Here is a 15,883-nt window from a genome sequence, read left to right as displayed (position 1 = left end):
CTCAGTATGTTGCCCAGGCTGGTCTTCAATTCCTGGGCTCAAGTGATCCTCCTGCCTTGCCTCGGAAAGTGCTCAGATTATAGTCATGAGTCACTGCACCTGGCCTGGCATTTTCTTGGAATGTTCAACACACACCTGTAGTATGATCCAGCCATTCCACCGCTAGGAATCTGCCCAAGAGAAGTGAAAGCAGATGTTCTCATAAAGACTTGTACATGTAACAACATGCACAGATTTCAAAGTATCACATCTATCTGATTAACTCCACTGTTACACTGGTTGCCACTGCTACATATATTTTTGATTTCTGCAAAAGGGCCTACTGCACTGACTGGATGGAAAGTGTGGCAGGTGAGGCAGGAGGTAGTTTTCTGGACATTACTTAAAACTTTCAGGGCAACAGTTTTACACCTGCTTTCATAGCAAGTCATATTTAGTAAGCATTTACTGTGTCAGTCATGGTTCTAAGGGGCTTGCATGGATTCTAATGGAATTGTCATAGCATGAGCTGTGGGGACTATTACTGTCCCCACTTTCAGACAAAAAAATGTAGGCAGAGAGAAGTTAGGAAACCTACTGGAGGCCACCTGGTGAGAAGAGATAGAGTCTGGGTTAGAACCTGGGGCTTCCAACTTTCCTGCCATGAAGCGTCACTCTGCTTCCAGCCAGGGCTGTCAGACATCATTGGTCCTGCTTAAGTGGGCTGGACCTGCAAATGCCAATAAAAACACGGAAGTTTTTCTAGGAACAGAATTCTAACCCCCACCGCCCATTTGCTGTTGGGAAAGCACATAGTATTCATTGTAGTTTGCAGCAGTAAATGTAAAAACAAAGATTATTTTTATATACTGGAGTGCAGATGGCATGGCACACAGCAGTCTTTCCCTAAACCTAAGGATTTCCAGGCCCCTTATAAAAGGTGCTTGGAGGCCGGGTGCAGTGGCTCACGCCTGTAATCCCAGCACTTTGGGAGGCTGAGGTGGGCGGATCATGAAGTCAGGAGATCAAGACCATCCTGGCTAACACGGTGAAACCCCGTCTCTAATAAAAATTTAAAAAATTAGCAGGGCATAGTGGCAGGCGCCTGTAGTCCTGGCTACTTGGGAGGCTGAGGCAGGAGAATGGCATGAACCCGGGAGGCGGAGGTTGCACTGAGCCGAGATCGCACCACTGCACTCCAGCCTGGGCAACAGAGTGAGACTCCATCTCAAAAAAAAAAAAAAAAAAAGTGCTTGGAGTTTAGCCTCCTCTGTTGTGTGCGCTGCATGATTGTTAGTTTCTCACCACCTTTCCCTGTTAGACCCGTCTTCTGGATGGATGCCATTCATTTCATGAGACTCCATCAGTTACATATAAAGTTTGGCTTTGAAATGATCAAAGTGGGACTTCCAATTTGGCCTCAACATGTTTGAAGATGTGTATCTATTGAATGATTTCCAATTGTCCTAGTATGTGCTAGATTTTGTGCTCCGCCCTAAAAGCAAAAAGAGGCCATAGGCTAACAGGGTTAGAAAAGGGAGAGCAGAATGGGAGATCAGATGTTTTTTGTGATGCATGAGAAATAATAAGGCTTCGGGAGAGTCAGTAGCCACTTCTGGGATTTCAGAGTTCCAAGGGTCAGAGGTAAGCTCTTAGCAGCTGTGCCTCACTGGCTCACCCCTGGCTGTTAGACCCCTCCCTGGAGAATTGCCTTCTGAGGGCTTTGTGACCGCACACCATAGTTCCTGCCCTTCCCCCAGTTGCCAGCGTCTAATGGGTGAGTGAGCTCACTTGTGACTGGGACATGAAGGAGATGATTCTGGGGAGTCTCTTCACTTAGTCCAGAAATCCTCCCTCCATTGTTTGCTTTCTCTCCTTTTTCCCTTGAAGTTTATTTGTTAAAGACAGACTAACCGACCTGCCTGGTCGTCTGTCCTGGAGTGTTTCCCAGGCCATTGTGTAGTACCGTTGCCTCTGTGGGGTCATTGAACATGTTTCCCTGTCTTCTAGTTCTAGAGCTTTGGTCACATTCACTTTTTCGTTAAGATTACTTTATAGGCACAGGCAAAATCCTAAGGTAAGATTTTTAAAATTGTTACCATTGCAAAAAATAGCACCTCAAACAAGAACAGTTGTGTTATTTTTGCCCATCTGCCTGCTGCTCAAATGTTGGCCCATTAGCAAGGTCATGTCTAACAGCCATGCAAAGCAGCATCCTCCCTGCCCTCGTTGGCACACTTCACCCGTTCGCAGTGACTGTGTACGCTCCCAGCCTCTGTAACTCCACGTGATTTACCTGTTTGTCTTCTGTCTCCCTCAAACTAGAATCCAGCCTGGTTCATGCTGCTCAGCACCATGCTGAGGCTCTACAGTGCCTGTTGTGTTGGAGGGAGGGTCTGCGCATGCGTTGCTCTGCAGCTGCGTTAGTGGTCGTGTCCTTTATCAGTTGCGGTGGTCCCCTGCTCCCCTTATTCCTCACAGTATTGTTAGGAGCGGTGCGTAAGGGAAGCAGGGCCTGAGGACTTTTTCCGTTGCCCTTTGAATTCCCACAGTCTTAGTTTTGGAGATTGACCTGGACTTGGGAATGAAAGAAAAATGGAAAAGTGAGTGAAATTGGTTTAAATTCCTCATGCAAACTCCTCTCTTTCAAAATGCTGCTTCGTCTTGGAGGTGAGCTGTGATCCTTGTGTGTTTGGTCAAGTTAGCAAATTTCCTGCCCCGGTGTAAGACACTGGGGCCGGTTTGGACTTCGGAAGTTGTCCAAACCATCCAGAGATGCAGCCATCCAGTGCTGCACAGGAGGCTCAGGGGTGTGCGGCTAGCTGGTGACCAGGTGACTCAGGACTGCCCTGTTGCTGCTTGGTGGTGGGACCACATGTGTGCACTTTGGTGAGCATGGTGCCTGTTGTCCTTGAGATTGTTAGTCAAAGGTACACGTCATAGTTTAATCACTGTGAGACTGACAGAGCACTTTCAGATTGGTTGTCTGATTTAATTTTCATTTTAGCTCTGTGATATAGATAACACCATTCCCATTTTGAATTAAGCAGATTAGAGTAAAAAACAATTTAGTGAAAGCATTATTCTTTGTATGTTGCAGAACCAGAACTTGAAATTATTTTTCAATATCTGTACCCTATTTTGTCATTGGCAAACTTGCAGCCTGAATGTTGTTATTGGTGACTGTGTAATATGGGGTCCTGAGGGCACCGCTGAGGTGCCCCTCCTAGACTCTCAGGGGTCTGGATGAGAGGCCTGGGCTGCTGCATTGCCATGAAGGGTAGAGGCACTACACGGAGCACATTGCATTGCAAATATGAAATATTCTGACTTTAAAAATCTTGCTAACACTTGACTCACAAAGATGTTGTTCTAAAGTAGGGGCAGATCCCTTCACCTGCTTGCTTTTAAGTTATTCAAATCTCTCTCAAAAGGATTTCCAAAACTCAGATTCTGAATAAAAGCCAATGGCAGATATGGGTCATCAGGAAGACTAGACATGAGGCCTTAGCAGAGCCTGTCTTAGTGGATTAGACGGGCGGGCTCTTGGAGTCAGCACAGCCAGAGCTTAGCCGTGACGTCGGCACCGGAGGAGAGGAGCCCAGGCCAGGGAAACCTGGTGGTGGGTGTTCTGGAAGGTCTGGGGGACTGAGGGAAGCGAAGAGAAAAGCAAGAGCAATTAAATGTGAGTAAGACTTTTAAAATTTACATTTATTCTTTAATTTTCAAAGGAAGCTGCATCAATATTACGTTTAGTAGAAAAACGTGACTAATAGTTATAATAAAAATGCTATTCTATCTTTCTTTAAAGTGAGTATATTTTTCTTTTTTCTTTTCTTTTTTTTTTTTTTTTGAGACAAGGTCTCACTCCATGTGCTCAGGCTAGAGTGTAGTGGAACAGTCATGGCTCACTGTAGCCTCAATTTCCCAGGCTCAAGTGGATTCTCCCACTTCAGCCTCCCAAGTAGCTGGGACTACAGGCGTGTGCCACTGCGCCAGCTAATTTTTGCATTTTTAGTAGAGACCAGGTTTTTGCCATGTTGTTGCCCAGCCTGGTCTTGAACTCCTGAGCTCAAGCCATCTGCCAGCCTCAGCCTCCCAAAGTGCTGGGACTACAGGCATGAGCCACCGCGCCCAGACCTATTTTAATTATAATAAAGCAGCTACAATTACTACATGTGACCGGGTGCGTGTAATCCCAGTACTTTGGGAGGCTGAGGCAGGCAGATGACTTGAGGTCAGGAGTTCAAGACCAGCCTGGCCAACATGGCGAAACCCTGTCTCTACTAAAAATACAAAAATTAGCCAGGTGTGGTGGTGCATGCCTGTAATCCCAGCTACTTGGGAAGCTGAGGAAGGAGAATCGCTTGAACTCAGGAGGTGGAGGTTGCAGTGAGCCGAGATCGCGCCATTGCACTCCATCCAGCCTGGGCCTCAGAGCTAGACTCAGTCTCAAATAAAATAACTATATGCAAATTTATATTATTTTTGACTTAGTATATAGTAAGCGTTTTCCCAAATTATTACTGTCTTCCTTATTGTTCTTAGCAATATGTTACAGTTATTCCAGTAACTATTTAGAGACAGGATCTTGCTCTGTTGCCCAGATTGGAGTGCAGTGGTGCTATCATAGCTCACTGCAGCCTTGAACTCCTGGACTCAAGCGATCCTCCCACCTCAGCCTCCCAAGTAGGTAGGACTACAGGCACGTTCCACGATACCCAGCGAATTGCATCAAGTAACTTTTTTTTTGAGATGGAGCCTCATTCTGTCACCCAGGCTGGAGTGCAGTGGCACGATCTCTGCTCACTGCAGCCTCCGCCTCCCAGGTTCAAGCCGTTCTCCCACCTAAGCCTCCCGAGTATGTGGGATTACAGGCACGCATCACCACACCTGGCTAATTTTTGTATTTTTTAGTAGAAACGGAGTTTCACCACGTTGGCCAGGCTGGTCTCGAACTCCTAACCTCAGGTGATCCACCTGCCTCAGCCTCTCAAAGTGCTGGGATTATAGGCTTGAGCCATTGCACCTGGCTGCATCAGGTAACTTTAAAAAGTTAACTTTAGGCTGGGTGTGGTGGCTCATGCAATAGATTAGAGTCTAGCGCTTTGGGAGGCCTTGGCAGGAGGATCACTTGAAGCCAAGAGTTTGAGACCAGCCCGGGCAACATAGCAAGGCCTCGTCTCTACCAAAAATTTCAAAAATAGCTGGGTGTGATGGGTGGAGTCTGCTTGTAGTCCTGGCTACTCTGGAGGCTAAGGTAGAAGGATGGCTTGAACTGCAGTGAGCTATGATCATGCCACTCACTCCACCCTGGGCAAGAGTGTGAGACCCTCACAGAAATTTTTTTTAAAAAATGTAACATTAAGGCTGGGCGCGGTGGCTCACTCTTGTAATCCCAGCACTTCGGGAGGCTGAGGCGGGCGGATCACGAGGTCAGGAGATGGAGACCACGGTGAAACCCCGTCCCTACTAAAAATATAAAAAATTAGCTGGGCGTGGTGGCGGGCGCCTGTAGTCCCAGCTACTCGGAGAGGCTGAGGCAGGAGAGTGGCGTGAACCCGGGAGGTGGAGCTTGCAGTGAGCTGAGATCGCGCCACTGCACTCCAGCCTGGGCGACGGAGCAAGACTCCATCTCAAAAAAAAAAAAATGTAATATTATTTTATTGAAACTGAAAAGTATAAAGAAAAAAATGTTTCTTTGTTCTAGGACCCCAGATTAGCCTCTGTTAACTTTGTATGCGTGTGTTGGTGTGTAGGGGGGTTAGTAAGCAAACTATATTTGAAGAATAATGAGAAGAATAAAAGCTGCTAACCTGTTTCTCTTTCTCCAAAAACAACGCCATAACATCTGGTGTGTGTAGAAAAAAGATGGCGGGCCGGGCGCAGTGGCTCACACCTGTAATCCCAGCACTTTGGGAGGCCGAGGTGGGCGGATCACCTGAGGTCAGGAGTTCAAGACCAGCCTGGCCAACATGATGAAACCCTGTCTCTACTAAAAATACAAAAAATTAGCCGGTTGTGGTGGCATGTGCCTGTAGTCCCAGCTACTCGGGAGGCTGAGGCAAAAGAATCGCTTGAAATCGGGAGGCGGAGGTTGCAGTGAGCCAGCACTGTGCCACTGCACTCTAGTCTCAGCAACAAGAGCAAAACTCCATCTCAAAAAAAAAAGAAAAAAGATGGCTTGCCCTGGCATTGGCGTTTGTCCTTCTTGTACACACAAAAGCATCATGCTTTGTACACTGTTCGTTTTTGTTTCGTTCACTGTCTTCACGGTAAAGATGAACTAAGAGCCACTGAGAAGGCTGTTTATGGGAACCAGAAGGTTGTTTGCTTCCCTTAAGTTCGCTCTTCCTGGCACCTGGTTCCCTTGCAGCCCATGGGGAATGTGATGGTCACGTTTTCTCGTCTCTCCTGCCTCATCCCATCAGCCAGTTCACTGCTGTGCCTGAACTCCTGTACAGGGTGTCTGGTGCATGTCCACATAACAAAAAGATGGTACTGATCATTGAGTTTATCTCCAAAAATTTTTTTCAATTTGATTGTAGAAAATACATTTTTAGGCGGGGCATGATGGCTCATACCTGTAATCCCGGCATTTGGGAGGCCGAGGCGGGCGGATCACCTGAGGTCAGGAGTTCCTTACAGCCTGGCCAACGTGGTGAAACCCCGTCTCTACTAAAAATACAAAAACTAGCCAAGCGTGGTAGCATACGCCTGTAATTCCAGCTACTCGGGAGGCTGAGGCAAAAGAATCACTTGAACCTGGGAGGCAGAGGTTGCAGTGAGCAGAGATTGCATCATTGCACTGCAGCCTGGGCGATAAGAGTGAAACTCCGTCTCAAAAAAGAAAAGAAAAGAAAATATATCTTTATCCTGGAGACTAGAGAATGTAATTTTTTTAAAAAAATTGAAATGCCTGACAATAGATTTTTCTTATCACTTCTATGTGTGGACTGAAGAGGGCCTGACCAGGAAATTTATTTTTATTGCTAACAAAAATTGTGTGTGTGTGTGTGTGTATGTGTGTATGTGTGTGTGTACACAGCGTTTTGCCATATTGCCCAGGCTGGTCGCAAACTGCTGGATTCAAGCAGTCCTCCCGACTTGACCTCCTAAAGTGTTGGGATTATAGCCCACCATGCCCAGCCAGGAATACGCCTTTTTAAAAAAAATTGACAAACGTAGGTTTTGAGTCTCTGAATTGAAACTCAAATGTTGGCACAGCAGAGTGCTATAATAATTTCTGCTATTAACTATGAAAAAGAAGTCCGTCTGGTTTTTTTCTCTTTGCATGTGACTAAAGATGAAAGTTAGCGAGTTTTGGCATTACTACTTCTGAAATTTTGTGAGGTCACTAAGTTATATTGAGCTCATTTTAAAGATACTTAGATTTTTGGTAAATTTGTTTCTCTAGTCTCAAGCAATACAGCTGGGTGATTGTTGTGTACATGTTCTTGTATAATATGTGAAAAGAACATCTAATTAAAAGCAGTATGTAAGATTTCAGGAGTTATCCCACCTAATGATGGAATTTGGGCCTTTACACACCCACCCACCACCCTCCAGCCACAAGAAACATCTCTTTTTTTCTCGAGACAGAGTTTCGCTGTTGTTGCTCAGGCTGGAGTGCAATGGCAAGATCTCGGCTCACTGCAACCTCCACCTCCCAGGTTCAAGCGATTCTCCTGCCTCAGCCTCCCGAGTAGCTGGGATTACAGGCACACACCACCACGCCTGGCTAATTTTTGTATTTTTAGTAGAGATGGGGTTTCTCCATGTTAACCACGCTGGTCTCAAACTCCTGACCTCAGGTGATCCGTTGTCCGCAGCCTCCCAAAGTGCTGGGATTACAGGCGTCAGCCACCGCCCCCAGCCGGAACATCATTTTTGAAGCATCTCAGAACATGCGTTTCTCTTTCCCGAGATCCCAGGAGTTTGTTGTTTTTAGTCCCGTACTATAAAAATTAGCTTTACTTTTTAGTGTTTAAATGATCAGAAACTGTGTGTGTTAACTAAAACAGTTTAATTCGGGGTACTTCATAACATTAACTTGTTTTCTTCATGTTGATTTTGGAAGGATTAAAGTAGCTTTACAGACTAAGAACAATTCTCTATTATGCGTGCGGGGTGCTGGTGAAATAAAACTACCCCCAACTCTGCAAAATTGTGTGCATAATATAATTTGATCATGTGTGAAATACAAGTGAGTAGTGTCAGGGCATGCAGAAAGAATGCAAAGCACAAGGCATCCAGACAGCTTCCATCTGAGACACTGCTCATCTTGTCCTGGCACTCTTACTGCTTAACACATTAACGTCCACAAATCACAGTCGCTAGGATTTATATGTGAAAACCAGGGAAAGAATTAACCAGTCTTATCCCTTAAGAATAAACTGCCCTTGAGGTGTGACCTTGTCCATACCTAATTCCGGTGATGCTCCATGTGTGCAGGGAGGCCTGAGGTATTTTTCCTTAGTGAAGCTTTCCTCATGATTAAAACATCCGTTTCAAATAATGCCTTTAGAAACAACTATTTGGTCAGAAATCTTTCTGACACCGTGTTGCTGTGCAGCCTGCCTCCCCAGAGAGCAGTGGCAGCAGGATGCCTGGTCTGCGTGCTCGTGTTACGGGGCATGCCTTGCAGGCCTTTCTGGTTCTGTGGACCGTAGACATCAAGTATCTATACTGTAGGTTATTCGAATTCCTTTAGGCACACTAGGAAAGTTCAGACTGGAAACTGACGGCTGAGCTTCTTAGGTCATCGGATAGTTTCCCACAGATGGGTTTTAATCTCAAGAAAATAACTGCTATCAGTTAGATTTTGATGTATATTGTATTAGCCTTTTGACTTACACAAAAGTTATAATGGTAAAATTGATCCTCTGTGTAATTTATGTAGGAAATTGAAGTGCTTGCATAAGCCGTACTTGCATGTGAGAGCTAATTGTAAGGGATTAAAGACATTAGCAACTGTGTCCTCAGCTTTGTTATACTTGAGTCATACTTAACAGCCAAGATCTTCAGTCATACATTAACAGCTAAGATCTTGGTCAGAAATGCAGCCTCCATTTATGACATTCTCTTGGGAAAATAAGTCTCTTGTTTAACAAGGTGATTTAGTTTTTACTTTGATTTCAGGAATATTGTCTAACGTGAGTAGGGCGAGAAGGCAGGGCGGCTTGTACTGAGCCTAATTTAGCCTGCACCTATAAGGATCAAGGTGTTGTTTCTGAGCCTCCTGGGATCCCAGGGCTCACTTGGGTGGGAGAGTGGGTTGTCCCTGAGCCAAAAAACTGCTGGACACACCCTGTGTGCTCAGGATTGCTGTGTGAGCATCCTGACAGCTTTTGACCAGTAGCGGTTCATGGTTACTGAGATGAGGTGGCTTTGAGATTCTTGGTTGCCAGGTTGCCACTCACCCCCGTTCCCTGAAGTAACTTCCCCTAGGTCTTCATGCGATAGCTATCCTAAGTGTCAGGTTTTATTTTTTTTATTTTGAGATGGAGTCTCGCTCTGTCACCCAGGCCGGAATGCAGTGGTGTGATTTTGGCTCAGTGCAACCTCTGCCTCCCAGGTTCAAATGATTCTTCTACCTCAGCCTCCCAAGTAGTTGGGATTACAGGCGTGTGCCACCATGCCCAGCTAATTTTTGTATTTTTAGTAGAGATCGGGTTTCACCATGTTAGCCAGGCTGGTCTTGAACTCCTGACCTCAAGTGATCCACCCGCCTTGGCCTCCCAAATTGTTGGGATTACAGGCATGAGCCACCACACCTGGCCTAAATGTCAGTCTTATGTTCTTGGATTTATAGGGAGACCTAGATTTTTTTATGAAAAATGCTTAACAGATTTTTCTTTTTATAACCCACCAGCATATGTTGAGTAGTATTTTAGACATTGTAATATTATGCAAAGCCAATAAATAATCATAATTATATTTTATTTACCTGGCCCTACTTAGCCATTGTATAAGTTCTGATGAATGCTGAAGAAAAGTTCTCTGGTTTGTAATGAGACCATAGTTCTCAGACTTTCCTTTTTTTTTTTTTTGAGACGGAGTATTGCTGTGAAGCCCGGGCTGGAGTGCACTGGCGCCATCTCGGCTCACTGCAAGCTCTGCCTCCCAGGTTCACGCCATTCTCCTGCCTCAGCCTCCCAAGTAGCTGGGACTACAGGCGCCTGCCACCATGCCTGGCTAATTTTTTTGTATTTTTAGTAGAGAAGGGGTTTGACCGTGTTAGCCAGGATGGTCTCGATCTCCTGACCTCGTGATCTGCCCGCCTCGGCCTCCCAAAGTGCTGGGATTACAGGCTTGAGCCACCACGCCCACCTTAAACTTTCAATTTACTTTTCTCACCTGCTTCATTAAATTATCCAACAGTTGTTTATTGATTGTGCTTGTCTTTCTGTTTCAGATCTCACATTCTTGAAGGTGGCATTGAAGAGCACTAAGATCGGAAGATGAGTGAGCTTGACCAGTTACGGCAGGAGGCCGAGCAACTTAAGAACCAGATTCGAGTATGTAGTTGTGTGTGCTTGGTTTTATTAATCATTTGAGTTTCAGGTTAGATGTTACTTGTTTTAGGAAAAATGGTTTACAGGATGACTTGTTCTATGTTTTATATGAAATTGAATCTTAGTTGGCCCAGGATGTACTAATTATAGATCTAGATACTTAGCCTAGTACATTGTTTTTGGGATTTTGCTTTCTGTATACAATTTGTTATTTGAATATACACCAGATGTCTCCGTAGAATTTATAAGTGTCTTTTGCATTCTTTATCATAACCTTGAAAATTTGTGATACCCTGGGCCACTGATCAGACTGTGATATCTACCTCCCTCCCCTGAATATTGGGACTATTGACAGCAGAAAACTTGCTTAAAAGTAAGAGTATTAACAACAATAAAAAAAGTATTTCAGGTATATCTGATGTATTTTTTCCTAATTTTGAAAGATCTTCCCTAGCGGTGATGATTGGAATCTACAGCTTCTGATAGACTGCTAGATGGAGCAGATATATCTAAATCCAAGATAGAGGCCGGGTGTGGGGGGCTCATGCCTGGAATCCCAGCAGTTTGGGAGGCCAAGGCGGGTGGATCACCTGAGGTCGGGAGTTCGAGACCAGCCAGGGCAACATAGTGAAACCCCCATCTCTACAAAAAATATAAAAATTAGCTGGGTGTGGTGGTGTGTGCCTGTATTCCCAGCTACTCAGGAGGCTAAAGTCAGAGAATCCCTTGAACCCGGGAGGCAGAGGATCCAGTGAGCCGAGATTGTGCCACTGCACTCCAACCTGGGCGTCAGAGTGAGACCCTGAAAAATAAAAAAAAAATTGAAGATAAATTTATTTACCGTGTGTAAATAAACTGCACTGTAAAAAGAATACCTTTCACAGAATTCTAAAACATTAAATTCCAGTCTGTGACTGATGTAGGATGTTAAATTGCAGAGTTCATAAACTTTTATTTGAGAGAGAGTTTCACTCTGTTGTGCCCAGGCTGGAGTGCAGTGGCGCGATCTCGTCTCACTGCAACCTCTTTCAAGCAATTCTCTTGCCTCATAACTTTCTGAAAAGGGAGGAGCAGTAGGTCTAAATGGAATTCATTCTGCTGCTCCTACTTTTGTGAAGCAGTACTTCTAGTAAATATTTTATAGAGAAACATTTAATGCAAGTATGTGTTTCCTTTCTGAAACTGCTGATGTGAAGAGTAAGAGAAAAAGAGGCAGACTTCTCAGGAAAAACCACGTCTTCAGTATGTTTTTAGGTTTTGTCCATTTGATGTAAGAGCTTTCTCTTACTCTTGTTTGCTCTGTCAAGCTTTAGCTGTTCTTCAGAGTGTCGCTGTACAGGAAGCTGATGACATTCAGTACATACCTAAATAACAGTTTATAAGCTGGGTATGGTGGTGCGCGCCTGTAGTCTGAGCTACCCAGGAGGATCACTTGAGCCCAGGAGGTTGAGGCTGTATAGTAAGCTGTGATTGCACCACTGCACTGCAGCCTAGGTGACAAAGTGACACCTTCTCAAAATACAGTAAAATAAAATAAAAAACAACAGTTTATTTTTCTGACTCCAGTGCAAGGATGAAGTCAAGTATTTCCTTTTAAACGGCCAATTACATGTTTAGAAAGCCCACCAGGATTTGGAGAGAGAAACACCAACATAATTTTAGGCAACTTGTTCCTGAACTTGAGAAAAAATAATGGAATTCTCTGAGATTTACAGCCAAAGAGAAAACAAAGTATCCTCTACTGTAAGAATTTTAAATCTTAACATTTAAAAGATCTTACATAGGTGAATAGGGAAGACTTAGATTTTTTTAATAGTTTGCTCTGATCAGACTTGTTTAACATGTCCCCTCCACCAAAATTAATCAAATGTGTTCTGAAATATTTAGTTTGATATAAAATTATTCTCTGAAATATCTATTTAAATAAAACCAAAAGGTATTCAAATTTTGCCTGACTTAATACTTAAGCTTCTGCTGTTCATTTTAAGTCAGCATGGTTTTTGGCAAGTAAAAAAGAAAAGCAAAGTGTTGTTATTTAATAATAATCTAACTGGGTTTTTGGGGGGGTTCAGAACACTCTCAGCTCTTTACCACCTGCTTTTGAGACTATATTTCATCTTATAGAAATCAGATTTTTTTTTTTTTTTTTTTTTTTTTCTGGAGACAGTCTCGCCCTGTTCCCCAGGCTGGAGTGCAGTGGCGCGATCTCAGCTCACTGCAAGCTCCTCCTCCTGGGTTCACACCATTCTCCTGCCTCGGCCTCCTGAGGAGCTGGGACTATAGGCGCCCGCCACCACACCCGGCTAATTTTTTGTACTTTTAGTAGAGATGGGGTTTCACCGTGTTAGCCAGGATGGTCTCGATCTCCTGACCTCGTGATCCGCCCACCTCGGCCTCCCAAAGTGCGGGGATTACAGGCATGAGCCACCACGCCCGGCCTAGAAATCAGAATTTTAAAGTTTACCCTGAAAATGTCTTAAATAGTAGGGTGATTTGGCATATTTGAAGAAATTTTGTTTTTCTGACAGCTATAAGTTGTTCACAAATAGTGGACTTGGATCTATTCATAGCAGATGGAAAGAGCTTGTATGGCACAGGTGAAAGACACCCAAATTTAAAAAATTAAGGCCAAAAGGAACTGTTGCACCTCCTTCCGAGGTTTGGACCCTGTCACGTTGTGAATTCCCCAGGGCCTTCTTGCACAGGGGGCTCCCTCTTGGGCTGGCACAAATGTCACGTGACATTCCCCACATGCTCTTGTTGCCACATAAAAAATGTAAAAAGAGGTCGGGCGCGGTGGCTGACGCCTGTAATCCCAGCACTTTGGGAGGCTGAGGCATGTGGATCACAAGGTCAGGAGATCGATACCATCCTGGCTAACACGGTGAAACCCCGTCTCTACTAAAAGAAAAAAAATACAAAAAAAATTAGCCAGGTGTGGTGGTGGTGGGCGCCTGTAGTCCCAACTACTTGGGAGGCTGAGGCAGGGAATGGCGTGAACCTGGGAGGCGGAGCTTGCAGTGAGGCGAGAGCGCGCCACTGCACACTCCAGCCTGGGAGACAGAGCGAGACTCCGTCTCAAAAAAAAAAAAAAAAAAAGTAAAAAGAGAGACGGCCAGGCACCGTGGCTCATGCCGTTAATCCCAGTACTTTGGGATACCAAGGCAGGAGGATTGCATGAGCCCAAAAGCTTGAGACCAGCCTTTGTAAGGTAGAAAGGCCCTGTCTTTTGAAAAAGAATGAAAAGAAACGGGTGGAATTAACCCTAACAAGGTTTTTTTCATTTTTTTGTTTGTGTGTTTTGAGACAGGGTCTCTGTCAGTCATTCAAGCTGGAGAGCAGTGGTGCGATCACAGCTCACTGCAGCCTCCCGAGTAGCTGGAACTACAGGAGCATGCTGCCACACCTGGCTGGTTTTTTTCAATTTTGTAGAGACAGAGTCCACCATGTTGCCCCAGCTGGTCTTGAACTCCTAGGGCTCAAGGGATCTTCCCGCCTCAGCCTCCCAAAGTGCTGGCAGGTGTGAACCACCATGCCTGGCCCAACAAATTTTATCTAAGGCAGTATATCTAAAATATTATTTATTATGCAATGTGTAATTAATACATTTTAATTGAGATATTTGACACTGTTTTTGTCCCAAGTCTCCTGGTTCCGTTTGCTGTGCGCAGCAGCCACAGGCAGGTCATGGCCCCCGCGGTGGGACGTTCACTAGGAGAGGCGCCTAGCTGCTTTGTCTCCGAAGTACCAGGAACCGCGCTGTGTTAGTTCCTTTGCACGAGACAGGGACAGCAAAAGCTGTTGAAGTCCTTTTACCCCAAATGGGAAAGGAAGACTTATTTTTAAAATGTAGAACATTTTTTCCTGATTGCCCAAGGAATACGTGCTTGTTAAAGAATGCAGAGCATAGTGAATCAAACAAGAAATTGTAGATGATTCTAAAAGGGGCTGTTTTCTTTCTTAGATTTGTTTTTCAGCCAAAAGACCCTTAAAGGACCTTGCATGCTCCTTTTGATTATTATTGAGGAAACACAGGCTCTCAGAGGGATTCTGATTAAAACATGGTGTGCCTTAAAATACACAGAGTAGCTGATGGAGTAAGGAAAGCTCCACAGGATGCACAGGCGTAGATGTGTTCTGGAGCGGCATGCCAGCCAGTGCAAGGGAGCAGGGTCCATTCGTGCGAGAGGCAGCTGCAATGGATGCCCGGTCCAAAATGTCCAGCGACTCCATGCTGAGCAGGGCCCAGGCTTTAATTTAGGATGAAACCCCAAAGTAAGTGTGTTACTGTGTCATTTGACAAATCCAAAAAGAATGAGAAATCAACTGATGAGTGGCTTGGATATGTTCATCTCTGGTTTAAGTGGACATCATAATATGTATCTACAGGAGTCCATTAAACTGGAAATTAATCTGAAAGAACTTGAAGACTTTTTCTTCTTTGTTAAGCAGTTATAGAGCTTGTTTCCATTAAAAGACTTCTTCCTACAGTTTTAAAAGTTGAAGGTGTCTGTTCTGCAAAGTGCTGCACTCAGTTAAATAAGCTGGTTATTGGCTAAAATAAAGATTGAATTGAAGTTATCTGTGTGTTGTTTTTACAGTAGTTTTTCCTTCGGTTTAACAGTAGTATCACCACAGTCTGTTACACTGTACCTTAAGAAACTCATTTTAGTCATTGGACACTAACCGGGGGAAGTTGCTTAAATCTCATGTTTTATTTTCTCCATTTTAAATTTTCTTATGATGTTTTAAAATCAAAGGCTGTAACATCAACAAGAATAGTATTTCAAAAACAAATATTAAACTCAGTACTTGCCAGTAAAATTCATTGACAAAAAGACTTCTGCTGCTCTAAGTATTCTTCATCCCCCTTACTCCAAATGTTACTGCTTGCATAGAAATACTCGATTTTTTTGTGTGTGTCTTAATTATAAGCAGAATGACCAATAAAGAGCTTAACTAAAGATGAATTTGGAATGTATAAATTTGGTATATTTATAATAATCTCAGTATAGTTCCTTTTTTTTTTTTTTTTTTTTTTTTAAACAGAGTCTCGCTCTGTTGCCCGGGCTGGAGTGCAGTGGTGTGATCTCAGCTCACTGCAACCTCTGCCTCCCAGGTTCAAGCGATTCTCCTGCCTCAGCCTCCCCAAATAGTTACGATTACAGGTGCCGGCCACCATGCCTGGTTAATTTTTGTGTTTTTAGTAGGGATGGGGTTTCACCATGTTGGCCAGGCTTGTCTTGAACTCCTGACCTCAGGTGATCCACCCACCTCAGCCGCCTGAGGTGTTGGGATTACAGGCATGAGCCACTGCGCCTGACCAATATATTTCCATATTATCAGTTTATAATATTCCCACAAGCTTCCTAAAGTAGAAATCATTT

General features: G+C 44.3%; 1 protein-coding gene across 34 annotated transcripts in view, besides 1 other annotated feature; it reads left to right on the top strand.

Annotated features, from left to right (window-relative positions):
* Positions 1–15,883, top strand: part of GNB1 (G protein subunit beta 1) — a 105,802-nt gene that overhangs the window by 55,192 nt on the left and 34,727 nt on the right. For 33 of the 34 annotated variants that reach the window (XM_047418078.1, XM_047418076.1, XM_017001061.3 and 30 more), the window contains one exon: positions 10,397–10,499. In XM_047418078.1, coding sequence (XP_047274034.1) covers positions 10,443–10,499 — 57 coding nt within the window. In that variant the 5' untranslated portion in view covers positions 10,397–10,442. Of the gene's footprint in view, positions 1–3,603; positions 3,665–10,396; positions 10,500–15,883 lie in introns of those variants that run through there. The other variant, XM_017001059.3, reaches the window with a different exon arrangement.
* Positions 8,985–9,888: an enhancer, noted in NCBI's record as "NANOG-H3K27ac-H3K4me1 hESC enhancer chr1:1757447-1758350 (GRCh37/hg19 assembly coordinates)". NCBI's record gives its function as "activates a minimal SCP1, AML or CMV promoter by ChIP-STARR-seq in primed H9 embryonic stem cells {active_cell/tissue: H9 hESC(primed)}" and the evidence as "EXISTENCE:reporter gene assay evidence [ECO:0000049][PMID:30033119]".

The sequence above is a fragment of the Homo sapiens genome, chromosome 1 (genome assembly GCF_000001405.40).
Source record: "Homo sapiens chromosome 1, GRCh38.p14 Primary Assembly".
Classification (NCBI taxonomy): domain Eukaryota; kingdom Metazoa; phylum Chordata; class Mammalia; order Primates; family Hominidae; genus Homo; species Homo sapiens.
This window is presented reverse-complemented; position numbering and strand designations above follow the sequence as displayed.